Source organism: Homo sapiens, chromosome 19 (genome assembly GCF_000001405.40).
Source record: "Homo sapiens chromosome 19, GRCh38.p14 Primary Assembly".
Lineage (NCBI taxonomy): Eukaryota > Metazoa > Chordata > Mammalia > Primates > Hominidae > Homo > Homo sapiens.
This window is the reverse complement of record NC_000019.10, coordinates 19810960-19836734: the sequence shown is the minus strand read 5'-3', so window position 1 is coordinate 19836734 and position 25775 is coordinate 19810960. Positions and strand designations below refer to the sequence as shown.

At 43.0% G+C, this 25775-nt stretch overlaps 1 protein-coding gene and 2 pseudogenes across 3 annotated transcripts in view, besides 5 other annotated features; 1 reads left to right on the top strand and 2 right to left on the bottom strand.

The window, feature by feature from the left end:
- Positions 1-552: 552 nt before the first annotated feature.
- ZNF56P (zinc finger protein 56, pseudogene) overlaps positions 553-25775 on the bottom strand; it is a 59609-nt pseudogene continuing 34386 nt past the window's right edge. Inside the window, exons 2-3 of the transcript NR_171023.1 lie at positions 3136-3262; positions 553-1831 (exon numbers count right to left, since the gene is read on the bottom strand). The product of NR_171023.1 is annotated as a zinc finger protein 56, pseudogene (transcript). The remainder of the gene's footprint in view (positions 1832-3135; positions 3263-25775) is intronic.
- ISCA1P5 (iron-sulfur cluster assembly 1 pseudogene 5) lies at positions 9073-9726 on the bottom strand (annotated as a pseudogene).
- Positions 14765-15279: an enhancer, noted in NCBI's record as "H3K27ac hESC enhancer chr19:19932265-19932779 (GRCh37/hg19 assembly coordinates)". NCBI's record gives its function as "activates a minimal SCP1, AML or CMV promoter by ChIP-STARR-seq in naive H9 embryonic stem cells {active_cell/tissue: H9 hESC(naive)}" and the evidence as "EXISTENCE:reporter gene assay evidence [ECO:0000049][PMID:30033119]".
- Positions 14765-15626: a biological region, named in NCBI's record as "H3K27ac hESC enhancer GRCh37_chr19:19932265-19932779".
- ZNF506 (zinc finger protein 506) overlaps positions 14985-25775 on the top strand; it is a 29040-nt gene continuing 18249 nt past the window's right edge. For both annotated transcript variants that reach the window (NM_001145404.2, NM_001099269.3), the window contains exon 1: positions 14985-15134. In NM_001145404.2, the coding sequence (NP_001138876.1) occupies positions 15132-15134 (3 nt within the window). In that variant the 5' untranslated portion in view covers positions 14985-15131. The remainder of the gene's footprint in view (positions 15135-25775) is intronic.
- Positions 15037-15196: an enhancer, noted in NCBI's record as "active region_14374". NCBI's record gives its function as "activates an Ori minimal core promoter by ATAC-STARR-seq in GM12878 lymphoblastoid cells {active_cell/tissue: GM12878}" and the evidence as "EXISTENCE:reporter gene assay evidence [ECO:0000049][PMID:35858748]".
- Positions 15227-15626: an enhancer, noted in NCBI's record as "active region_14373". NCBI's record gives its function as "activates an Ori minimal core promoter by ATAC-STARR-seq in GM12878 lymphoblastoid cells {active_cell/tissue: GM12878}" and the evidence as "EXISTENCE:reporter gene assay evidence [ECO:0000049][PMID:35858748]".
- Positions 15657-15836: an enhancer, noted in NCBI's record as "active region_14372". NCBI's record gives its function as "activates an Ori minimal core promoter by ATAC-STARR-seq in GM12878 lymphoblastoid cells {active_cell/tissue: GM12878}" and the evidence as "EXISTENCE:reporter gene assay evidence [ECO:0000049][PMID:35858748]".

Genomic DNA, 25775 nt, shown 5'->3' with positions numbered 1-25775 from the left:
GAACTTCTTATAGGCCATGCCACATTCTTCACACTTGTAGGGTTTCTGTCCAGTATGAATTACGTGTAATAAAGGTTGAGAACTTCCTTTAAAAGCTTTGTCACCCAAATGTCCAACAATGATAGACTGGATTAAGAAAATGTGGCACATATACACCATGGAATACTATGCAGCCATAAAAAATGATGAGTTCATGTCCTTTGTAGGGACATGGATGAAACTGGAAATCATCATTCTCAGTAAACTATCGCAAGAACAAAAAACCAAACACCGCATATTCTCATAGGTGGGAATTGAACAATGAGATCACATGGACACAGGAAGGGGAATATCACACTCTGGGGACTGTGGTGGGGTGGGGGGAGGGGGGAGGGATAGCATTGGGAGATATACCTAATGCTAGATGACGAGTTAGTGGGTGCAGCGCACCAGCATGGCACATGTATACATATGTAACTAACCTGCACAATGTGCACATGTACCCTAAAACTTAAAGTATAATAAAAAAATAAATAAAAAAATTTTAAAAAAAGCTTTGTCACATTTTTTATATTTGTTATATTTGTATGAGTTTATGTTCCATATAAATTCTCATAGTTAGTAAGAGTCGAGGGCTGGTTAAAGGCTTTCCCACATTCATCCAGTTTCTCTCCAGTATGAATTATCTTATGCTTATTAAAAGTGGAGGAATATTTAAAATGTTTGCCACATTCTTCACTATGTAGGGTTTCTGTGCAATATGAATTCTCTTATGTTTATGAAGGTATGAGGACCAGTTAAAAGCTTTGCCACATTCTTCACATTTGTAAGGTTTCTCTCCAGTATGAATTCTCTGATGTTCAGTTAGAGTTAAGGATGCAGTAAAGGCTTTGCCACACACTTCACATTTGTAGGGTTTCTCTCCAGTATGAGTTCTCCTGTGTTTAGAGAGTAGTGAGGGCCAGGTAAAGGTTTTGCCACATTCATCACATTTGTAGAATTTCTCTCCAGTATGAATTTTTTTGTGTGAAAAAAGGATTGTGGAATGGTTAAAAGCTTTGCCACATTCTTTACACCTGTAGGGCTTCTCTCCAGTATGAAGTATCTTATGTGTAGTAAGGTGTGAGGATAGGTGAAAAGCTTTGCCACATTCTTTACATTTGTAGGGCTTCTCTCCAGTATGAATTCTCTTATGTGTAGTAAGGTTAGAAGTGCACTTAAAAGTCTTTGCCACATTCTTCACATTTGTAGGGCTTCTCTCCAGTATGAATTCTCTTATGTGCAATAAGGGTAGAAGTGTACTTAAAGTCTTTGCCACATTCTTCACATTTGTAGGGTTTCCCTCCAGTATGAATTTTCTTATGTGCAGTAACATGTGAGGGGTGCTTAAAGGCTTTCCCGCATTCTTCACATTTGTAGGATTTCTCTCCAGTATGAACTATCTTATGTACAGTAAGGTGTGAGGACCTTTTGAAGGCTTTGCCACATTCTTCACATCTGTAGGGTTTCTCTCCAGTATGAATTTTCTTATGTGTAGTAAGGTTTGAGGACGAGTTAAAAGCTTTGCCGCATACTATACATTTGAAAGATTTTTTTCCAGTATGTCGTATCTTAGGTCTGTTTCAATTTGAAAATTTCTGAAAGACTGTCCCATATTTATCACATTGAAATATTTTTCTCTGGGTAGTTGTCAGACTGTGGTGAAGACCATTATTACCTCTTTTGAGCAGCTCATGCTCATCCACACTTTCACAGCCTTTTTTTAACTGTAAATTGTCATATCCACATTTTTCATATCTTCTAAGTATCACTTTTTGGAAAGAATCTTTTATGCTCTGCTCTGGCCAAAGGTCTTGGGCAAAATGAGAACACATAACAGAAAGAAACAGTAAAATCACATTACTTCAATTGCTAGACTCAGATAAATAAATATACTTTACAAATCTAACCTATAAAATTATACAAACTACATAAGCAAGATGACATAGCAAAATACCACCAGCTCTAATTTCTTCCTGGACACATAAATGTAACAAAAACGTACTGACCAAAATACATGTGTAAAAAAATGTATAAATGAGTTAAATGTGTGAAGTTCCCCACGTGAGCAGAATGAAATAGCCACATAGAAGAAAAAGAAAGCTCTGTTATACCCAACACAGCTCTTCCTGCTGTCCAGTATAATATTGTGCTTTTATTTATTTATTTATTTTTTGAGATGGAGTCTTGCTCTGTTGCCCAGGCTGGAGTGCAGTGGTGCGATCTTGGCTCACTGCAAGCTCTGCCTCCTGGGTTCAAAGGATTCTCCTCTCTCAGCCTCTGGAGTAGCTGGGATTACAGGTGTGCGCCACCATGCCCTGCTAATTTTGTATTTTTAGTAGAGATGTGGTTTCTCCATGTTGGTCAGGCAGGTCTCAAACTCCCGACCTCAGGTGATCCGTCCGCCTCGGCCTCCCAAAGTGCTGGGATTACAGGCTTGAGCCACCGCACCCGGTTTTGCTTGTAGATTTTTAAATTTTACTACCTGGTGTGACTGAATCAAAAATTGATGGTGGCAATTAGATTTTCAGGTGCGGACAACAATATTTTATGCCACTAAATTTCTGGGCTTACCGCTAATTTAGAGTGAAGAACACAGCTCAACTCAGGCATGTGGAGATTTTGGATTAAGATTAAACATCTTGGCTGAGCGCAGTGGCTCACGCATGTAATCCCAGCACTTTGAGAGGCTGAGGCGGGCAGATCACGAGGTCAGGAGATCGAGACCATCCTGGACAACACGGTGAAACCTCATCTCTACTAAAAATACAAAAAAAAAAAAAAATTAGCCAGGCGTGGCGGCGTACGCCAACAGTCCCAGCTACTCGGGAGGCTGAGGCAGGAGAATAGCGTGAACCCGGGAGGCGGAGGTTGCAGTGAGCTGAGATCGTGCCACTACACTCCAGCCTGGGTGACAAAGCGAGACTCTGTCTCAAAAAAAAAAAAGATTAAACATCTTGAAATTCTTTTCTAAATGAACAAATTCTAAAAATTTTCTGGAAAAAGGGCATCTGAAACTCTTTTACGCAAAAAATAAATTACTAAAAAACATTTCACAAAAAGGAGAAATAAAACCTTTAGGGTACATTATGAATTATACATTCAAGTTATCCTCACCAAGGAAGACCAGGTGTCTGTAGTTCTCTAACATCACATCCCTATATAAATTCCACTGTGCAGTGTCCAGGCAATGCCACTCCTCCAGAGAGAATTCTATGGCCACGTCTCTAAATTGCAATGGTCCCTGGAAAACACACACACACACACGTTTTTACCAAGTGGCCATGGGCGAGACTTTTAATTTGACTTAAGGTGAAATTAGAGAGTAAAGACAATTGGTTCTGGCTTATAGGACTGACTAAAATTATCCAATAAAATAATTTTCAACATAGAAATATTCTCTAATGTATTCTCTAACTCCGAGAAGAAAGAGCAGCATGAGATCCACTACATCAGTTTATTTATGATATTTTTCTAGATAATAAAGTAGAAATTTAAAGTCATGAATACGAACATGCACATTTTTGAGTGCTATATTTACAATATACAGAAGGAGTTGTGAATGCGGTGGAATAGTTAAATATTAAATTTGAACTCCGTTGAACGTGGACACAAACAATGGTCATCAAGTCCCAGAACAGGTTGTGTGAGCCCCTCGAGGCGTTCATCCAGCACTGTTTCAGAAAAATCTCTATTGCCATCTATTCTATATGTTAGTTATTGAAAAATAATAGACAATCGCAAAAACAAGTTGACCTTTTTGTGTTCCTTGAGCCCAGTCACGAAGGGCCCTCGTGACTGGGCCTCATGCCAAACAACTTGTTACAAAAAGAGCTAGGGTCCCAGACTGCACCAAAGCTTCAAGAGACCTCTGCTTGTCTGTGCATGAATGGGTGGCCAACTCTAGAGCCCAGGCTGTTGCTTCCCAGTGTGTTGGTGAATCCTCCATAGTCTGGTGAGTCTGGTGTCTGACCCTGGAGCCCAGGCTGTTGCTTCCTGATCTGGTGATGAATCCTCCATAGTCTCGTGAGTGTAAATATATATATATATACACATCTCTTTTCCCTTCTCCCCTTCCCACTGCAATTTGCTTATGATATCAATTCGCTTATTGTATCTGCATTGCCATTTACATGGGATAAAGCTTGTTTACCCTTAAAGGTACTGTGTGTGTGTCTTTTCTTCTCCCCCTGTGCATTTTCCACACAGAACACCATATTTCTCAGAGGCTTTGTTTGTTCCTTTTTATTCTTTTTTCTTTAATCTTCTCTGCAAGCCTTATTTCGGCAAGGTGGTCTTCAAACTCTGATATCCTTTCTTCTGCTTGGTCTATTCGGCTATTGATACTTTTGTATGCTTCATGAAGTTCTCATGCTGTGTTTTTCAGCTCCATCAGGTCATTTATGTTCTTCTCCAAACTGGTTATTCTAGTTAGCATTTCCTCTAACCTTTTATCAAGGTTCTTAGCTTCTTTGAATTGGGTTAGAACATGTTCTTTTAGCTCAGCAGACTTTGTTATTATCTGCCTACTTCTGTTAATTCATCCATCTCATCCTCTGTCCAGTTCTGCACGTTGCTGAAGAGACATTTTGATCATTTGGAGGAGAAAAGGCACTCTGGCCTTTCAGCATTTTTTTGTTGATTCTTTCTCATCTTCATGAGTTTGTCTAGTTTTGATCTTTGAGGCTGCTGATCCTTGGATGGTTTTTTATTTTTATTTTTATTTTATTTTTATTTTTATTTTTTAGACAGAGTCTTGCTCTATTACCCAGGCTGGAGTGCAGTGGCATGATCTCGGCTCACTGCAACCTCCACCTCCCAGGTTCAGGTGATTCTCATGTCTCAGACTCCCAAGTAGCTGGCACTACAGTCATGCACCACCACGCCTGGCTAATTTTTGCATTTTTTAGTAGAGACAGGGTTTCGCCATGTTGGCCAGGCTAGTCTTGAACTCTGGCCTCAAGCGATCTGCCCACCTCAGCCTCCCAAAGTCTTGGGGTCACAGGTGAAAGCCACCATGCCCGGCCTCGGATACGGTTTTTGTGGGTACTTTTTTGTTGTTGATGCTGTTGTTGTTGCTTTCCGTTTGCTTGTTTTTCTTTCAATGGTCAGGTCCCTCTTCTGTAGGGCTGCTGCAGTTTGCTGGGGGATCACTTCCGGCCCTATTCATCTGGTTTACTCCCGTGCCTGGAGATGTCACTCAAGGAGGTTGGAGAACAGCAAAGACAGGTGCCTACTCTTTCCTCTGGAATCTTTGACCTCAAGAGGCACCAACCTGATGCCCATAGGATCGCTCCTGTATAGGGTGTCTGACAACCCCTGTTGAAGGGTCTCACCCATTTGGGTGGCACAGGGAGCCTAACCCATTTAATGAAGCACTTTGACTATCCTTCGGTGGAGGGGTGGGGTGATTCCTGAGGGGAAGCCCACTCATCTGGGCTGCCTGAATTCCTCAGAACTAGCAGGAGGAAAGGCTAAGTCTGCTGGTCCACAGAGACTGCAGTCACCCCTCCCCCTAGGGGCTCAGGCCCAGGGAGATCAGAGTTCTGCCTCTGAGCCCCTGGCTGGAGCTGTTGGAGTTCCTGCTGGGAGGCCCTGCCCAGTGAGGAGGGATGGTCAGGGTCAGGCCTGAAGAGACACTCTGGCTGCAGTCTGCAACAGCCAGAGTGTTGGGTTGTAGGGGACATCTCTTGAGACCAAGCTGTCCAGCCTCCCTGGCTCTAGCAGGGGAAAAGTGTGGCCAGGAGCTATAGAGATGGCTGCTGCCCTTCCTGAGCCCAGGGAGCTTAGCCTGTCAGGCAGTTGTGAGTCCCATTGCTGGCTGCTGTCCCTCCCCCAAGGAGCTCAAAGGGCTTAGACAGCAGCCAGACACAGCTGTGGTACTGGTCGCCCCTCCCCTGGGAACTTGGCAGGCTTACGCAGATTCTAGCTGAGAGGCTGTTGAGGATCTGCTTAGCTCCAGGGTTGTGTCAGGCATAATAAGTTTCTCTTCAAAGGATAACTTCCTTGTTCTTTGTTCTCCAAATCAACTTCCTTGTATGTTCCTGCTCCAAGCTACCTGCTCTGTAAACAACCCTTCCCACCAGTCCCAATCTGTAACCCACATCTCTTCTTTATTTGGAAGAAGTCCTCCTCACTCCTAGTTACCTGCTCTGTAAACAACCTTCCTGCCAGTCTCGATTTAAAATAACCAATCGAGTTAGCTTATATTATGTGGTCTGACTCCAGCCAATGGGGACAGGACACAGAAGTAGGGACTATGTTAGCAATAATAACCCCTTCCCTCTCTAGTACAGTGTGCTCTCACAACAACCAGAGATGTGAGCAGCACCCTTCTGTAGAAGTAAATTTGCCTTGCTGAGAAATTCCTTGTTTGAGTGCTTGTTTTCTTTGTGACTCTGAGCTCTTGTTTCCAACAGTTGGTACCTTAGGCTCCGGTGGCGTGGGTTCACGAGTGGAATCTTCTGATCCATGGGTTGCACTGTTCCATGGAAAAAGCACAGTTTCCCAGGCTGGGTAGGATGCTCACTCACTGCCTCCCTTGGCTGGGGGGTGGGGGCTCCCCAGGCCCATGTGGGTGTCAGGTGGGCTGTTGCCCCACACTGCTCTTCCTTCTTCTCCATGGTTCATGCCAGCCACCTAGTCAGTTCTGATGACAGAACCTGGATACCTCAGGTGACGGTGCAGGTTTCACATGCTATTATGATTCTTTTCTAAGGGATGCTGCTTCTAGTCAGCCATCTTGGCCCCATCCCCATCAGTTTTTCTCTGAATGTCTGATAGAATTCAGCTGTGAATCCACCTGGTTCTGAACTTCTTTTTTGGTTGGCAATTTTTTTTAATTATTATTTCAATCTCACTGCTTGTTATTAGTCTGTTCAGAGTTGTTTTTGTTTTTTAATCTAGGAGGGTTGTACATTTCCAGGAATTTAGTCATCTTCTGTAGGTTTTCTAATTTGTGCATGTAAAGGTGTTCACAGTAGCCCTCAATGATCTTTTGTATTTCTGTGGCATCAGTTGCAATATCTTCCATTTCAGGTCTAACTGAGCTTGTTTGGATCTTCTCTCTTCTTGGTTAATGCTGTTAATGGTCTATCAATTTTGTTTATCTTTTCTAAGAGCCAGCTTTTCATTTCATTTATCTTCTGTTTTATTGTTGTTGTTGTTTCAGTTTCATTTAGTTCTGCTCTCATCTTTGTTATTTCTTTTCTTCTACTGGGTTTGGGTTTGGCTTGTTCTTGTTTCTCTAGTTCCTTGAGGTGTTATCTTACATTGTCTACTTAAGCTCTTTCAGACTTTTTGATGTAGGCATTTAATGCTATGAACATTCCTTTTAGCACCGCTTTTGCCATATACCAGATATTTTGATAGCTTGTGTCATTATTATTGTTCGGTTCAAATAATTTTTTTTTTATGATCACAAAGAGGCCACATTTTTTTTCTTTTGATAGAGTCTCACATTGTTTCCCAGGCTGGAGTGCAATGGCAAGATCTCGGCTCACTGCAACCTCCACCTCCCAGGTTCAAGCAATTCTCCTACCTCAGCCTCCCAAGTAGCTGGGATTACAGGTACCTGCTATCATGCCCAGCTAATTTTTTTTTATTTTTAGTAGACAGGGTTTCACCATGTTGGCCAGGCTGGTCTCGAACTTCTGACCTCAGGTGATCCACCCACCTCGGCCTCCCTAAGTGCTGGAATTACAGGCATGAGCCACCACACCCAGCCTGAGGCCTCATTTTTTTTTTAATTGACAACTCAATCTCTAGATACATACAGTATTGAATGAATTATAAGTGGATCAACAATTATATTATTGATACAAACTCATGAGCATTTACATAAAACTACTGCTCTAGGTTTTGGTGTGTTTTGTGCCAGCTACTTTAGGGAATGAAAGAAACATAAAGGACCTCAGCTACTTGAATTCATGAGAATCAGCTTTCAAAAAAAGCATATATGTCATTTCATAGAATACTTAACATGTCAAACCCGGGAAAATCAGTAACTACGTGACAAAAGGAACACTTTTAAAGAAAGGTTGATGATAAAAATATTAGGCTAAAATATTAAAAACTTTAGCAACTGGACCGAGGAATCAGAAAGTGTATGCACACAGAATTTTAAGAAAAGATCCCCATGTTCTCCTGCACAATGAGGACCACATTCCAAAAGCATAATTCTGGGTTGCTACAATGTCTTCTCTGCTACAAACCATTGTTTCAAAGGTGAAAGAAACAAGATGGTAATTCACATAAAATGGTTTTAAAATTCTTCCCACTCAAAATAAAATACTATGATCTCCATCAAATTATAAAGAAATTCTATCAAAATGTCAACCAAATAAAGAAATCAGACCATTTGCCTTCACTGATTGCCTCAGAGGGCAGAGCATGTGTCACCTACAAGGAAGGGGAGATGGGGGTAGAGTCCCCATTCTCCCTTGGCCTGTGGAGTGGGGGTGGACAGGAGCACTTTGGCTTCCCTGGGGATTTGCTTCCTCACATAGGGAATTGAGGGAGGTGGGCTAGATGGCTTTAAGAGACCCCACAACTAAAAGAATCAAAGTCACCTTGAGATCCCATCTCTGAGCAGACATATAGGGTGGCAAAAGAAATGGATTAAAAAACAGGTGGATGACATCTTTCTCACCTTTTGATACCATCACTCAGAACTAATCTGTACTATAGTTGAAGAAAATCTTTGCCCGGTACTATTAAAGGGTACGCAATGAGGCATCTGAAAATAAAAATTTTCATACAAATGTACTAAAAGGCTATGTTAAGTTTGGTTGGAAAAAACAATGCACCACCATGTTACTACCAGCAGTCAGGACGTCCTATCTCAGATTTTAGGAGTTGCCGATCTGGTTGGGAGAAATGCTGAGGGGGATGCATGTTCAAGCCATTCAGTAGAGAGCTAAGGAGTGCACACGGTCCAGGAAATGGATAAACAGGTGCCCAGGAAGGCAACTTTAATGAAACTGTTTCTAAAACAAAGGATGTAAGAGACCTAAATGATCCAAAGAGAGTGATGGCTTCTCATTTTCTGTCCCCTACAGGGAATACAAATATCATTTCTTCTGGAATCTAACACACTGGCTTCATTTTCAAAATGCATCACTTTATTTTCCTTACAAGGCAGCAGCATATTAAACACGTGACAGTCACATGATTTCTGCAGTGAGCCCCAAGGCTTCCACCAGCTTTCCTGGAACCTACGGCCAGAAGAGTCCTGAGATTTCAAATATTAAAGCTTTCTCCACAGCCACAAGTTCCTTTGATGTTTGGGTTATTGAACACAAACTCACTGGATAATTTTTCTTCAACATAGTCCATCTCTGTTCCTAAAAGTGTTAGCTTTGCTTTCTTTTCAATGAATACTCTGACTCCATCTTGAATAACTTCACCAGAATCTCCTTTTGTCTTTGTATATTCTAGAATATAAGAAAGGCCATTACAGCCTCCTGGCTCGCACACCAACTTTTACACCTACATGCTCAGGCTTATCTTTAAGAAGTTGTTTTATCTTGTTTACTGCTGAAGGTGTCAGGGTGAGGGCGGCCCAGGTGGGCTGAAGTTTCCTCTTGCTCACAGCCCAGACATTTGCCCGGACTAAGGCAGCCGACATCTTTGCTGTCCTGGCGCTCCGGTACCTCCAGCCGGAGCTCGGCCGCCTCAGCCTCTCTCCATGGACATGGCGAGTGCATTCAGTTCAAAGAATTTTTAAATTTCCATCTTGATTTCATCCAACACTCATTCAGAAACAGGTTGATCTTTAATTTTTAAATTTAATTTCCGTGTATTTGCATGGTTTTGATGGTTCATTTGGAGTTGATTTTCACTTTTATTCCACTGCAGTCTGAGAGAGTAGTTGATATAATTTTGATTGTCTTAAATTTATTGAGACTTGTGGCCTATCATATGTCTATCTTGGAAAATGTTTCAAGTGCTGATGAATAAAATGTATATTCTGCAGTTCTTGGATAGAATGTTTGTAAATATATTTTAAGTCCATTTGTTCTAGGATATAGTTTAAGTCCATTGTTTGTTGTTGTTGTTGACTTTCCGTCTTGATGACTTGTCTACTGCTGTCAGTAGAGTATTGAAGTCCCTCATTATTATTGTGTTGTCATCTATTTCATTTCTTAGGTCTAGTAGTAATTGTTTTATAAATTTGGGAGCTCCAGTGTAAGGTGCATATATATTTAGAGGTGTGATGTTTTCCTGTTGGACTAGTCCTTTTATCATTATATAATGTCCCTCTTTGTCTTTTCTTTTTTTTTTTTAACTGTTTTTGCTTTAATATCTGTTTTGTCTGATGTAAGAATGGCTACTACTGCTAGCTTTTGGGGTACATTTGCATGGAATATCTTTTTCCAACCCTTTCCCTTAAGTTTAAGTGAGTCCTTATGTGTTGGGTGAGTCTCTTGAAGATAGCAGATATTTGGCCTGTAAAATCTTTTTTTTTTTTCTTTTTTGAGTTGGAGTTTAATTCTCATTGTCCAGGCTGGAGTTCAATGGCATGATCTCGGCTCACCGCAACCTCTGCCTCCTGGGTTCAAGCTATTCTGCTACCTCAGCCTCCTGAGTAGCTGGGATTACAGGCATGCACGACCACGTCTGGCTAAATTTTGTATTTTTAGTAGAGACAGGGTTTCTCCATGTTGGTCAGGCTGGTCTCAAACTCCCGACCTCAGGTGATTCACCCACCTCAGCCTCCCAAACTGCTGGGATTACAGGCAGGAGCCACTGCACCCAGCCTGGTAAACTCTTATCCATTCTGCCATTTTGTGTCTTTTAAGTGGAGCATTTAGGCCACTAAATTAGTAGCATTTAGGCCAATAATCACTATCAATTATACCACCATACATTACAATGCCTGTCATTGAAAGGCTTGGACACGTAATCCATTCAAGTTTGCAGTTATGGTGGAAATTTTGGCGTTATTGATAACTTGCTGATTAAATAGTCTGTCAAGAGAAAGCAGAGATGCACGGGCATCAACGTGGAAAACGGTGATAATGGTAGTGTGCGAAAGGATTCAGATATCTCCCCAGTATTGTTTTCCCCAAACCTCTTTATTCCCAATTAACCATTTGTTTTGTTACCATTGGGGTATCCAGGTAGTAAGATCATTTGCTACAGACCAAGAGTTGGTATACAAGTGACAAATCCCTCTGGCCTCCTCTTGAATAGCTCAGAGGATGGCTACTAGTTCAGCTAACTGGCTGCTCCCACCCCTTCCTTCATCATAAATACTTATGTTTTTAACAGGATTATAAGCCACGGCCTTCAAGCATCGGGTCCCACCAATGTATTTGGTGGATCCATCAGTAAACCAAGCATATTTCTGATCCTCTGGGCTTAGTTCTTTAAAGGATTTGCCCCATTGGGCAGGGGAGGTTTCCTTCCCTAACAGCAAGGCTTGCTTGGTGATTTCCTGAGCTGGGAAGTTTTGTACGTCCTCATGTAAAAGTGATACCCCGTTTGGTTTTGGCTTAAATGGACTTGTATGTACTATTTCCATTTTATGATGCTACTTTCTTGAGAGTGCTCTATCTGGTGAGCTTTGAGGGAACTCATGACCCAAGTCATAATAGAAATTTCAGGCCTCATAAAGACCTCATGGTTGAAACAGAGGTGTTCCGTTTCCAGCAAAGCCCAATAGCAAGCTAACAATTGCTTCTTGAAAGGGGTATAAGCTTTTCTGGCCTCTGGCAGTTTCTGGGTCCAAAACCTGAAAGGTACCCTCTTCCCATCTTGTTTCTGCCTACCGCTTCAATTAGCATGTTGATCTAGGACAGTCACTTGGAGTTCTGCTGGCCCATCCCGTATGGGCCATAGATCCAGGGCCAGTTGCACTGCTTGTTTAGCTTGTTAAGAAGCCATGCTCTCTGTCTCTCCCCAGTGAAAGTCTGCATGCAGAGGTTGTAAAATGTTACCCAAGTGGGGAATATGATGTCTCCAGAATCCAAACAAAGCCAATAAATTTCTGGGCCTCCTTTTTAGTGGTAGGGGTTGTAAATTCTAGTATTTTAGCCTTAGTCTTTGGTAAGATGGACTACATCTCTGCATTCCATAGAACGCCATGGAATTTTACAGTTTGTGCGGGTCCTTGAATTTTACTAGGTTAATTTCCCATTTCTGAGATAGGAGCTGGGTTTTTACCTGTTCCAAGCCCCAACTGACTAGTTCTTCAGTTTCACCCTGACCGGGCCACTTGGACAGCTGCTTTTTTCAGCAATAGGCTGATAGCTTTGAGCCTGATCAATCAAGACATAGGCCTGGCATTGGGCCAGGGCCAGTCTGGAAGTCAGATTAGCATATTCGTTTTCCAACTTACATTTCTCTTCTTGCAACCAGCCCGTATCTTGACACATAAACTTATAAGCAGTAAGGAAACACCATCCACTCTGGGAGATCCCTCAGCATCTTTTTTGCTGACTGGAATCTCCTGCAGCACTTCATGCACAAAGGTTTAAATTGCACTAATTTAGATTCTCAATTCTCACAAAGTCCAGTTCCCCTGGACCATTCAATCACCAAGGGGGAGAACTGGGGGAGTTCCCATCCCAGGGTATGGGAAGTCCCCGAGCCTCCAGCCCTGTCCTTGTGGCCAAAAAGAGGCACACTTTTGGTTTCAAATCCTGTTTGTAATGCCAAAAATGTTCTGTGAGGGAAAGGCTCAAGGTGAGAAGAAAAGACACACACACAATACCTTTAAGGGTAAACAAGCTTTATCCCACGTAAATGGCAATGCAGATATAATAAGCAAATGATATAATAAGCAAATAAATACAATAAGCAGATTGATATAAGAAGAAGATTCATATAATAAGCAAATTGCAATAGGAAAAGGAGAGGAGAAAAGAGACATATATATATTTACACTCACCAGACTATGGAGGATTTACCACCAGAGTGGGAAGCAACAGCCTGGGCTCCAGAGTTGGACACTCGCCCATGCACAGAGGAGGAGAGGTCTCTCATGGAGCTTTGGCACGGTCTGGGACCCTAGCTCTTTTGTAACGAATTATTTGGCATAAGGCCCATTCATGAGGGCCATTCGTGACTGGACCCAAGGAACACAAAAGTCAACTGGCTTTTGCGATTGTCTATTGTTTTTCAACAACTAATGTATAGGAATAGATTGAAATAGAGATTTCTCCAATACAGCGCTGGATGAATGCCTCAAGCAGCTCACACAACTTGTTCCAGGACTTGGTGACCATTGTTTGTAGCCATGTTCAATTGAGTTCAAATTTAATATTTAACTTTTCCTCCACACCAGACTATGGAGGATTCACCACCAGACCAGGAAGCAACAGGCTGGGCTCCAGAGTCGGATACCGCACTCATCAGACTAGGAGGATTCACCACCAGACTGGAAAGCAACAGCCTGGGCTCCAGAGTCAGCCACCCATCTCTGCACAGACAAGGAGAGGTCTCATGAAGGTTCCGCGTGATCTGGGACCCTAGCTCTTTTTGTAATGAGTTCTTTGGCATGAGGCCCAGTCATGAGGGCCCTTCGCGATTGGGCTCAAAGAACACAAAAAGGTCAACTTTTTTTGTGTGTGTGTGATTGTCTATTGTTTTTCAATAACCAATGTATTGGAATAGATTGAAATAGAGATTTCTCCAAAACAGCGCAGGATGAACACCTCAAGGGGTTCACATAACCTGTTCCAAGACTTGGTGACCATTGTTTGTGTCCACGTTCAATAAGTTCAAATTTAATATTTAAGTTTTCCTCCACAAATTCCCCTGTCTTGATGAATTGGCTCTGTCTAGGCAAAGGGCAAGGTGAACCCCTTGGGCCGTTACACAACCTCCACTTCCTGGGTTCAAGTGATTCTCCTGCCTCAGCCTCCAGAGTAGCGGGGACTATATGTGTGCACCAGCACACCCTGCTAATTTTTTGTATTTTTAGTAGAGATGGGGTTTCACCATGTTGGCCAGGCTAGTCTTGAACTCCTGACCTCAAGTGATCTGCCCACCTTGGCCTCCCAAAGTGCTGGGATTACAGGCTTGACCCACCGCGCCTGGCCCTAAATGATTTCTTTCTACCCCCTATAGCAGTTTGAAATTACTTAAAGGTTGTTTCAAATGGAAAAATAAAAAGAATGTGGATAAAAATAAAATATAAAAAGTTAAAAAACTTACAAGAGATTACAAAATATATATGTAAATCTGGAGTGTTCAAAATGACAAATTTATTTCTAAGGTTTTATTAAAATTAGCTTTAATTGATAATACACTATTACCAAAGTAAAAGTTGATTTTCTCTTGAACAAAAATTTTACGTATTATTAATATGACAGCAGAATACTTCCGTTCACCTTTTGAATATATTCAAAAAGAGAGAGAGTCAAAAAGAGAGAGAATTTTCCCATGCTCTGGGGTGGGCCTGGCTCAGCTCAGGGAGGAAGTCCTGTTTGAAAAGGCTGCAGCTGGCCAGGCTTGGTGGCTCAAGCTTGTAATCCCAGCACTTCGGGAGGCCGAGGCAGGCGGATAACTTGAGGACAGGAGTTTGAGACCAGGCTGGCCAATATGGTGAAACCCCGTCTCTATTAAAACTACAAAAAAAAATTAGCCGGGCATGGTAGCAGGCGCCTGTAATCTCAGATACCCGGGAGGCTGAGGCAGGAGAATCGCTCGAACCCAGGAGGCAGAGGTTGCACTGAGTCAAGATGACGCCATTGCAATCCAGCCTGGGCAACAAGAGTGAAACTCCGTCTCAAAAAAATAAATAAATAAAATTTTTTTAAAAAAAGAAAAGGCTGCAGCTTAGACTGTCTCTCTTTCTTCACTCAGTCCAGCATCGGATCACGTCTTCTGTAACTCAGGACCTGAGGGGGCGGGGCCTCAAGCATTATCCAATCAGGGACGCTGGGCTGGAAACCGTCCAATCAGCCACGCAGCTGTAGCGAACAGGACGGTTTCCGGCTTCCGGCTTTGGCGGGCCCATTGTCTCTCGCTGACGCCAGAGATCCAGCTATCGTCTTCACTGCTCTGTGCCGTCAGCTCCTAGAGGCCCAGCCTCTGTGGCCCTGTGACCTGCAGGTATTAGGAGGGTCACAGCTAGGACGCCGGGACCCCCTGGAAGCCTAGAAATGGTGAGAGTGCCAGTTCGACATCCCGAGAGAGGGAGAGGGGCTGGTTGGAACTGGGGAGGAAGTGGCTGTGGCTGTGGCAGTGGCAGAACTCAGGCCTCCCGGCAGTCAGCTCCACAATCTGCGCTCCAAGTTCTCATTGCCCAGCTCCGCCCCAGCCATAACATGGCGGCTGCGTTGACAGCGGGTCCCCGGGGTGTCCTGTCTTTTCCCTGCGCAGTGACTGTGCCCTGGCGTGGAACCCTCTCCGGGCAGCTCTGCACCCACAGGTCTTTCCCAGATTGTTCAGGGGCCACGGGAAGGTCGTCAGGGGAGAATCCTGACTCGGGGTGCGGGTTCATGAATGGGAAGAGCTTTGGTTCGTGGGGTTCACAGTTTCTCTTTTCTCCTATTAAAAATTTATTGGGCCGGGCGTGGTGGGTCACCCCTGTAATCCCAGCACGTTGGGAGGCGAGGCGGGCTGATCAGTTGAGGTCAGGAGTTCAAGACAAGCCTGGCCAAAATGGGGAAACCCCATGTCTACTAAAAATACAAAAGTTAGCTGTGTGTGATGGCAAATGTCTGTAGTCCCAGCTACTGGGGAGGCAGAGGTGGGAGAATCTGTTGAACCCAGTAGGCGGAGGTTGCCGTGAGCTGAGATCGCGCCACTGAACTCCAGCCTGGGCGACAGAGCAAGACTCTGCCTTAAAAAAACACAAACGGGGAGGGGGGAGTCACCGCAAAAATATCAAATAATTTAATGAAAGTGTGATTCAAGAATTGTAGAGCACCCAGCTACAGTTTGTTGTTTGTAGTCCATGGGAGGGGCTTGAAGAAAAGACATTTATGAAATGCATGATGAAGAAAACCAAATTCAATAATTGATTAGGTATAGTTACGTAGTTGTTATTTTATTTTATTTATTTATTTATTTATTTGAGTCTCGCTCTGTCGCCAGGTTGGCGTGCAGTCTCGCGATCTCCGCTCACCGCAAGCTCCGCCTCCTGGGTTCACGCCATTCTCCTGCCTCAGCCTCCCCAGTAGCTGGGACTACAGGCGCCCGCCACTACGCCCGCCTAATTTTTTGTATTTTTAGTAGAGATGGGTTTCACCGTGTTAGCCAGGATGGTCTCGATCTCCTGACCTTGTGATCCACCCGCCTCAGCCTCCCAAATTGCTGGGATTACAGGCGTGAGCCACCGCGCCCAGCCTAGTTAGGTAGTTTTTAAATTTGTACAATCGAGATGGAAATTTCCTGGTTATGTAATCAGAGTTTAATTGGCAGTTTATAGTTGCTTAAGCCTGAATTTTGTTTCCCCTAATGTAGTAATTTACCAAAGAATACACTTGAGTTTTGTTTTTTTTCCTTAGAAGTGGGAATCTGGGGACTAGAGCTTCCTCATTCTAATTGCCTGCCACTTAATTATTTTCACATCCCACAGGGGACTGATTTTCCCTGGCGTTTTTCACATGTGTCCCAAGCAGGGCCTCAGGTGTACCCCATGTTCCTCAATCTTTTTTTTTTTTTTGAGATGGAGTCTCACTCTGTCGCCATGCTGGAGTGCAGTGGGGCGATCTCACCTCACTGCAACGTCCGCCTCTTGGATTCAAGCGATTCTCCTGCCTCAGCCTCCTGAGTAGCTGGGAGTACAGGCGCGTGCCACCACGCCCAGCTAATTTTTGTATTTTTAGTAGAGACAGGGTTTCACCTTGTTTGCCAGGGTGGTCTCTATCTCTTGACCTCGTGATCCGCCCGTCTCAGCCTTCCAAAGTGCTGGGATTACAGGCGTGAGCCACTGCGCCTGACCAATAGTCATTTTTTAAAAAGTATTGCATAACACTATTGAAAAGATTTGTTTTCTGTTTGTAAATATTTCCCATGAGAAGAAAGCAAAGAATAATCCCCTGACACTGTATTGTAAAAAATATCTGTGCCTCTTTGTCTTTTATTTTTCCAGAGAACTTACCGAATGTTTTTGGGTCAAGATTACCCTCTGGAAACTTAATAGGGTGATGTGTCCTCAGCCAACCTTCAGTTTTTTTCTGGTCCTGGGTTTTAGTACTTTCTGGGGATAAACCAAGATACCCACCATGGCTATGTCTGCTAGAGTGTCTAGTGACTGTTAGCTCTTGGGTCATTTTCTCCCATAGGACTACCTGAAGTATGGAGTGTAGCCTCTTAAGGGAGCAGGTGGCAGCCTTGGGGTTGAAAGGCAGATCCTGGTGCACTTTTTTCTTTTTTTTTTTTGAAAAGCTAACCCCTTGAGACATGAAGATTTTCTTCACCCAACCTAGCTTCCATTTCTTGGAGACACATTGCTGGTCAGACAATCAGATGCTGGTATTGAGGGGAAAACAAATAATTTCTGACCCCTGGATTCTCTTGGGTGGGGAGCAGAAAAGTAGTGAAAAAACACTTCAAAAGACAAAAAAAACTGACCCCAGTGAGAGGGCGTAAAAACTTAACAAAGTAAAATGCACGTGGGGCACTCACTGGGGCATGGCGCGGTGTCTCCTGGGAGGGTAGTTATTGAGCATGTACCTGAACAGGATGGGGTGGGTGATAGGATCTGTACCTTGAAAAGATTTGTTCACTTATTTTAACCTCAGGTGTTTGTGCTGTTGTTGTTTTTGTTTTGTTTTGAAACAGTCTCTGTTGCACAGGCTGGAATGCAGTGGCTCGATCTCAGCTCACTGCAACCCCTGGCTCCTGGGTTCAAGTGATTCTCATGCCTCGGCCTCCCCAATAGCTAGGACTATAGGTGCCCGCCACTGCGCCCGGCTAGTTTTTGTGTTTTTAGTAGAGATGGACCAGGCTGGCTTCAAACTTCTGTTCTTAAGCGATCCACCTGCTTTGGCCTCCCGAAGTGCTGGGATTACAGACATGAGCCACTGCACTCAGCTGCATCAGTGTTTTAACTGTAATTTGCATTTTATTAGTAGGGCTTGAAAGGTAAAAAAATATTTACAAAGCACATAAAAGAGATGAGTTTTAAAAAATTAGTTTCTAATCATTCTATTTGTTAATAATTCTCATTTACCTTTTTCTTTCCCAGAGTGAGTTCAGGAATTTTCTCAGATGTGTTTTTTATGGCTGAGTGATTTCAAACAGAATTCTAAGCCTTAGCTTTAAGAATGCTAGCTACCAAGGAAAAAAGTAGAGAAAATCTCTCTTCCATTTTGTCTGTAGACAATGAAAATGTTTCCACAGGAAAATCTGGTAGATAATTGATGAGTTATATAGATCGTCAAAACATCAGTTCCTCTTTTTGCAGGGTAAATTTGTGACAGTGAATATCTTGGTTCTATTTCCTGTTGTCTTGATTTCTGAGTTTAATGCTAAATTATATGTGATGAAATGTGGTACCTTCTAGAAGTGTTCCCATATGACTAATTTTTTACTACATTGTTTTTAATATAAATAATAAAATAATACGTTGTCTGAAAGAAGTAGATATATTTGCTTTTCTTATGAAGGTATAAAATGCAAGCACCTTAGCCAGGTGTGGTGGCTCATGCCTGTAATCCCAGCACTTTGGGAGGCCGAGGGGGGTTGATCACTTGAGGTCAGGAGTTCAAGACCAGCCTGCTCAACATGGTGAAACCCTGTCTCTGCTAAAAATACAAAAATTAGCCAGGTGTGGTGGCACATGCCTGTAGTCCCAGCTACTTGGGAGGCTGAGGCAGGAGAGTGGCTTGAACCCGGGAGGCAGAGGTTGCAGTGACCTGAGATCGGGCCATTGCATTGCAGCCTGGTGACAGAGCAAGACCGTCTCAAAAAAAAAAAAAAAAAGCACCTTAAAATTTCCTTCCCTTACGTAAACACTGTGTTTGAGTAATTTCACAGGACTATTGAAACAGTTTCAAAAACCAAGTGAATAACTCTGACATGGAAATTAAAGCTTGAACCTAGTGACTCCAAGCTAAGGCTAATGTTAAGCATGCGAGAGGAAGTTATTAAAGGCCCAGTTAGTTCTTTCTGAGGAGCCACCCCTGCAGCTGTCTCAGCCTGCTCACCCCAGCCATAGAAGAAGCCTTTATTCTGAGAGAAGCCACAGAGCCCTGGAAAGCTGGGGATCCACAGGCAGATGCAGTTGAGGTTAAGATGAAAGGAAACTGAGAGAGTCTTACTGATGATGAAGTTGTTATTGTTTTGAGGTACTTTCTAGACTTTGTAAAAAAAAAAAAAATCAGATTTACGTAAAAAAAATTCTAAAAAAGTATTGCAACGAGAGGAAATACCAACTAACTATAAGATCTTTATGGCTTGCAAAGGTGTAGGCAGAAAAACACTTTCTTTCCTAGGGAGGTGCAAACAAGATTAGAAAGGAGGTGGGAGGGGAATGGCAAATGGAGGGTGAAAAAGTCAGATCTTAGATCAGAGAATGTTTTACACTGAAATCAGCATGTTCTTAGGAGGGACATAAAATGGGGTTGTATGTTGACTCAGACTGAGGGTAGCTCAAAGTTCAGGAGCCCAAGGGAGGGAGATAAACTTAAGTTTGATTAAGAAATATTTTATTTGGCTGGGCGTGGTGGCTCACACATGTAATCCCAGCAAGTTGGGAAGCCGAGGCAGGTGGATCACCTGAGGTCAGGGGTTTCAGACCAGCCTGACCAATATGAAGAAACCCTGTCTCTACTAAAAATACAAAAAAAATTAGGCAGGCGTGGTGCTGCCTGTTGCAGGCTTACATGCCTGTAATCCCACTGGGAGGTGGAGGTTGCAGTGAGCCAAGACGGCGCCGTTGCACTCCAGCCTGGGCAACAAGAGCAAAACTCCCCTCAAAAAAAAAAAAAAAAAAAAAAAAAAAGGAAATATTTTATTTTAGGCCAGGCTGGTGGCTCACGCCTGTAATCCCAGCACTCAGCCTGTGGAGGCCGAGTTGAGCAGATCACCTGAGGTTGGGAGTACGCGACCAGCCTGAGCAACATGGAGAAACCCTGTCTCTATTTTAAAAAACACAAGTCAGGCGCAGTGGCTCAAGCCTGTAATCCCAGCACTTTGGGAGGCCAAGGCGGGTGAATCACGAGGTCAGGAGATCGAGACCATCCTGGCTAACAGGGTGAAACCCTGTCTCTACTACAAATACAAAAAAATTAGCCAGGCGTGGTGGCAGGTGCCTGTAGTCCCAGCTACTGGGGAGGCTGAGGCAGGAGAATGGTGTGAACCCGGGAGATGGAGCTTGCAGTGAGCTGAGATCGCACCACTGCACTTCAGCCTGGGCAGCAGAGCAAGACTCCATCTCAAAAACACCACCGAAAAAACAAAAATTAGCTGGGTGTGGTGGTGGGCACCTGTAATCCCAGCGACTCGGGAAGCTGAGGGAGGAGAATGGCTTGAACCTGGGAGGCAGCGGTTGCAGTGAGCCAGGATAGTGCCACTGCACTCCAGCCTGGGCGACAGAGTGAGACTCTGGCTCAAAAAAAAAAAGAAAAGAAAAGAAAAGAAATATTTCATTATGACCACTGAAAACAAATTCAGCTGATTTTTTTTTAATGAGAAAGAGAAAATGTGCAGAGTGTGTGTCTGGCTGTGTGATAGGTAAGAAAAGAGAGCACCATCTAACTCATAATGGGAAGGGTGTTTCTTTCCATAAACTGTTCCTGGAGCACACAAAGGATGGAGAATTTTATTAATCAGAAAAATTTTCCAGGATTATCTATGTGTTTCATCTTTCCCCATCTCTTTTCTTTGTTCTGTGCATTTCTTCCATTTGGCTTTTCCAGGGCTGCATCTTATATATTAAACCAGTAAAGATAACTACAGTATTTTGATGATTCTGTGAGTAGCTCTACCAAATTATTGAACTTCAGAGAGGTTATGGGACTCCCCAGGTTTTAAACAGTAGCTCAGAAGCATAGATGGGCCCTTGGGGTTTGTGACTGGCATCTGCCATGAGGACAATGTTGCGGGACTGAGCCCTGAATCAGGGTCTACGATGACTCTGGGTGCTGTCAGAATTCAAATGTGAGACAATAAGTTAGTGTTGGAGAATTGTTTGATGTTCAGCAGACTCTACAGATATGGTGCCAGAAAAAAGATACCACGGAGGCCTGGCCTGGAATAAAACTTTGGGTGATTGGGAATGGGAGGCTCTGCTCTGTCGTACACAGGCTGTCACACTGCCCGTTGTCCTGTGATCCCAGGTCTTCTCTCAGGGTGACAGAGGACTGAAAATGTAGAGGAAAGAAGCTCTGATGACAGACCCCCTTTTCCCACAGCTGCCACCACAGGATTCCCACCCACTCACGAACACACACACTAGACATTGACATGTCCACACTCCTCCCGGGACTCGGCACCACCCTCAGGAACCTCACAATGGTATTTTTTGTTTTTGTTTTTGTTTTGTTTTGTTTTTGAGATGGAGTCTCGCTGTGTTGCCCAGGCTGGAGTGCAGTGGCGCGATCTCGGCTCACTGCAGGCTCCGCCTCCCGGGTTCACGCCATTCTCCTGTCTCAGCCTCCTGAGTAGCTGGGACTACAGGTGCCCGCCACCACGCCTGGCTAATTTTTTTTTGTATTTTTAGTAGAGATGGGGTTTCACCATGTTAGCCAGGATGGTCTCGATCTCCTGACCTCGTGATCCTCCTGCCTCAGCCTTCCAAAGTGCTGGGATTACAGGCATGAGCCACAGCGCCCGGCCCACAATGGCATTTTTGATCCTAGTGTTTCTTGCCAAGAATCCACAAGTCTCTACAAGTCTCCTAGCATATTCCCACTCACAGACACTGAATCTGCAGCAGCAACCTGTTTTCTCCACCATCCTAGCATTTTGGACCAGCTGTTCATAATCTCACCTGCCTGCATGCACACGGAAATAAATAGAGTACAGCCCCACTGGGACCACTATCTGTACCAAAAATCAGTCCTCTCACCTACATTGCACTCTCTCCCACCCAGGGATTTTTTTTTTTCTTTTACCTTTATTTTTGGTTCAGGGTACACATGTAGGTTTGTTACACAGCTAAAATTATGTCATGGAGGTTTGGTGTGCAGATTACTTTGTCACTGAGATACTACCCATAGCACCAAACAGGTATGTTTTCTGAACCTCTTAGTCCTTCCATCCTCCACCCTCAACTAGGCCTCAGTGTCTTTTGTTCTCCTCTTTGTGTTCATGTGTTGTTATTATTTAGCTCTTACTTATAAATAATAACATGCATTTGGTTTTCTGTTTCTGCATTATTATTATTATTATTATTATTATTTTGAGATGGAGTTTTGCACTTGCTGCCCAGGGTGGTGTGCAATGGTGTGATCTCGGCTCACTGCAACCTCCACCTCCTGGGTTCAAGCAATTCTCCTGCCTCAGTCTCCCGAGTAGCTGGAATTACAGGCACGTGCCACCAACCCCGGATAATTTTGTATCTTTAGTAGATACGGGGTTTCTCCATGTTGGTCAGGCTGGTCTCAAACTCCGCACCTCATGTGATCCACCCCCCTTGGCCTCCCACAGTGCTGGGATTACAGGTATAAGCAATCACACGCAGCCTCTGCATTTGTTTTCTAAGAATAATGGTCTCCAGCTTCATCAGTGTTATTGCAAAGGACATGATCTTTTTTTTTAGTGGCCACAGAGTACTCCATGATGTACCATATTTTGTTTTTACTAAATCTTTTATTTTATTTTATTTTATTTTTGGAGACAGGGTCTCACTTATTGCCCAGACTAAAGTGCCATGGCATGATATTGGATTACTTTAGCCTCAACTTCCCAGGCTCAAGCAAATCTCTCCTATCTCATCCTCCCAAGTAGCTGGGACTACATGCGGGCGTTACCACACCTGGCCAGTTTTTCTCTTTGTATTTTCTGTGGAGACAAGATTTTGCCATGTTGCCAGGCTGGTCTCAAACTTCTAAGCTCAGGCAGTCTACATGCCTTGTCCTCCCAAAGTGCTGGGATTACAGGCATGAGCCACTGCATCTGACCATACCATATTTTCTTTATCCAGTCTACCATTGATAGGCATTTACAGCCTGTGCGTGTCTTTGCTATTGTGAATAGTGCTGCAATGAACATGCATGTGGATGTGTCTTTATAATATAATTTATATTTCTTTGGGTATATACCCAATTATGAGGTTCCTGGGTCAAATGATAATTGTTTTTAGTTCTCTGAGGAATCACCACACTGCTTTTTATAGTTGTTGAACTAATTTACACTCCTACCAGCAGAGTATAAGCATTCCTTTTCACTTAAATGGTTATTTTAATATTATTTACACTTTTGAAAGTGTAAAAGTTTTAATTGAAATATAGTTGCAATTTTTAAAAATGCTACATACATTATGACTAGTTCATTAAAATTATTAATGCTTAGATATTTATATCTAATATCCAAAGAAAATTTACTACCAAATTGTTATAGTAGATATTAGTCTGACATGTTTATTACTTTATTCAATAGGGATAATTATGAGTAAACACAATTTTAGTATCTTTTATTTCACTAAATTGGAATGCTGCTATTACAGGACAAATAAAGACAGGTGATGTGGCCACCCAAACACCACCAACATAGCTCTTTAGTTAGTTATATTGCAAGCTCTAATGTATTCCACTATATGAACACAGTCAGATTCTATTTCTTCATCAAAAAGTGTTGTTGGAAGTTGTCAGATGTATTTAAATATAGAACCCCTATTCAATGGCTAGGAGATGAGAGAGCAGCAGAGATGGAAAAGAAACTTTATAAAAGTATTCTGAAAATCTGCCCCCTTTCTCCATAATGTTCATGTTTCTCATGCTGAGAGTAGCTGTGTACTTTGGGTGTTGAGAGAGAAATTGCTTTTAGGGGAATATTTTCTGGCTGACTTGATCAATCTCATATCTAATCTGAGCTTTTTCTTAAGATTTCTCCTTTAATTGTACTCCACTTACTGTAACACCAAAGGATACAGAGCCAAGTTGATCCTACCTAGAATCTGCAGATAAAAAAGGGCCAGACTTTGGATAGAGAATGTACAGAAAACTAACAAAAGGCATTTTCTGCATTGGGAGTGTGGCTCTTTGAGATGTTTCACATCTTGTTCATTGACCTGCTACAGTGAGGTCAGAGGCTCCAGGAGGAAATAGAATGTGATGGCATAATCTGTAGTGAGAGATCAAGGCTGCAAAGTATCCAGAGCCATGATCACAACCACAACTATATTCACCTGTAAAATGTGATACTGGAGTAGAGTATTTTTGTTCTTTCTCTTACCCAAGAGCTAGTAAATCAGAATGGGTGATCCAGGTTGTGGAGTTCCACCAGGGAAGTTCCATTTTCTATTTAGAATCAGCCTGAGTCTCTCCAGCCTGGCTTATCATTGGGCCAGCGGCCCAGGGTGACTGGGAATTCCTTCAAAATCACCTAGGTGTCTTTGAGGCATTTGAGATGTCCCATGCAGAATTGTGTCAGGCTGACAGGAGTTAATTCTGCTTCTGTCTCAGTGTAAGAGAAATGAGTCATCTGTGTTTGTTCATCCCCTCATACAAGAGATGTCTTTGGTTGGTACCCAGATGAGAGTTTCTCCAGTTTCCTGGTACTTGGATGATAAACAAGGAGGAGATCTGGAGACCCAAATAGATAAACTAGTAGCTTCCATTTCATATAGCCATTTAAAAAAAAAAAAACATGAAGCAGTCATGGTTCCTACAATCCAGAAACTTTTAGTCTAGACTAGCAGCTGGATAAATAATTGAATTGTGCATCATATGGTTGGTACAACAAATACAATGTGTCTAAAATCTTGGGCTTTATTTAGGCCACTTTATATTGTTGTGGCTTCTGATGTCTACATCTGAAGGCATATTTATGAAGAGAAGAACCGTTATTATAATTTCCTTTTTTTTATATTTTTGAGAGGGAGTGCAATGGTGTAATCTCAGCTCACTGCAACCTCTGCCACCCTGATTCAAGTGAGCCTACTGCCTCAGCCTCCTGAGTAGCTGGGATTACATGTGCCTGCCATCGCATCCGGCTAATTTTTGTATTTTTAGCAGAGATGGGGTTTCACCATCTTGGTCAGGCTGGTCTTGAACTCCTGACCTCGCGATCCACCCACCTCGGCCTACCAAAGTGCTGGGATTACATGCGTGAGACACTACACCCAGCAGTATAATTTCTATTTCTTTTTCTTTAAGTGTACGTATTTATTTTCTAATAAAATTACCCTAGAAAGGCCAGGCACAGTGGCTCATGCCTGTATTCCCAGCACTTGAGAGGTCAAGGCAGGCGAATCATGAGGTCAGGAGTTTGAGACTAGCCTGGCCAATATGGTGAAATGCCATCTCTACTAATAATACCAAAATTAGCCAGGCATGGTGATGCACACCTGTAGTTCTAGCTACTTGGGAGGCTGAGGCAGAAGATTCACTTGAATCTGGGAGGCAGAGGTTGCAGTGAGCCGAGATCGCACCAGTGCACTCCAGCCTAGGTGACAGAGTGAGACTGCATCTCAAAACAAAAAAAGTTACTCTAGAAGACCTTAAGGGATTTGTTTAAATTGCATATTAGTATATAGTATAAAGTTGACAGGGCAGTGGCTAGAAAAGATTAAAATTGCAGAAACTCTGGATTTACATTTCTTTTAGGTAAGCTTAGGAAAAACAAAACTGGAAGTACCCCAGTGGCATAGAGAACAGAATTCTACATAGTGTCTTCACCCTGCCCCAGAC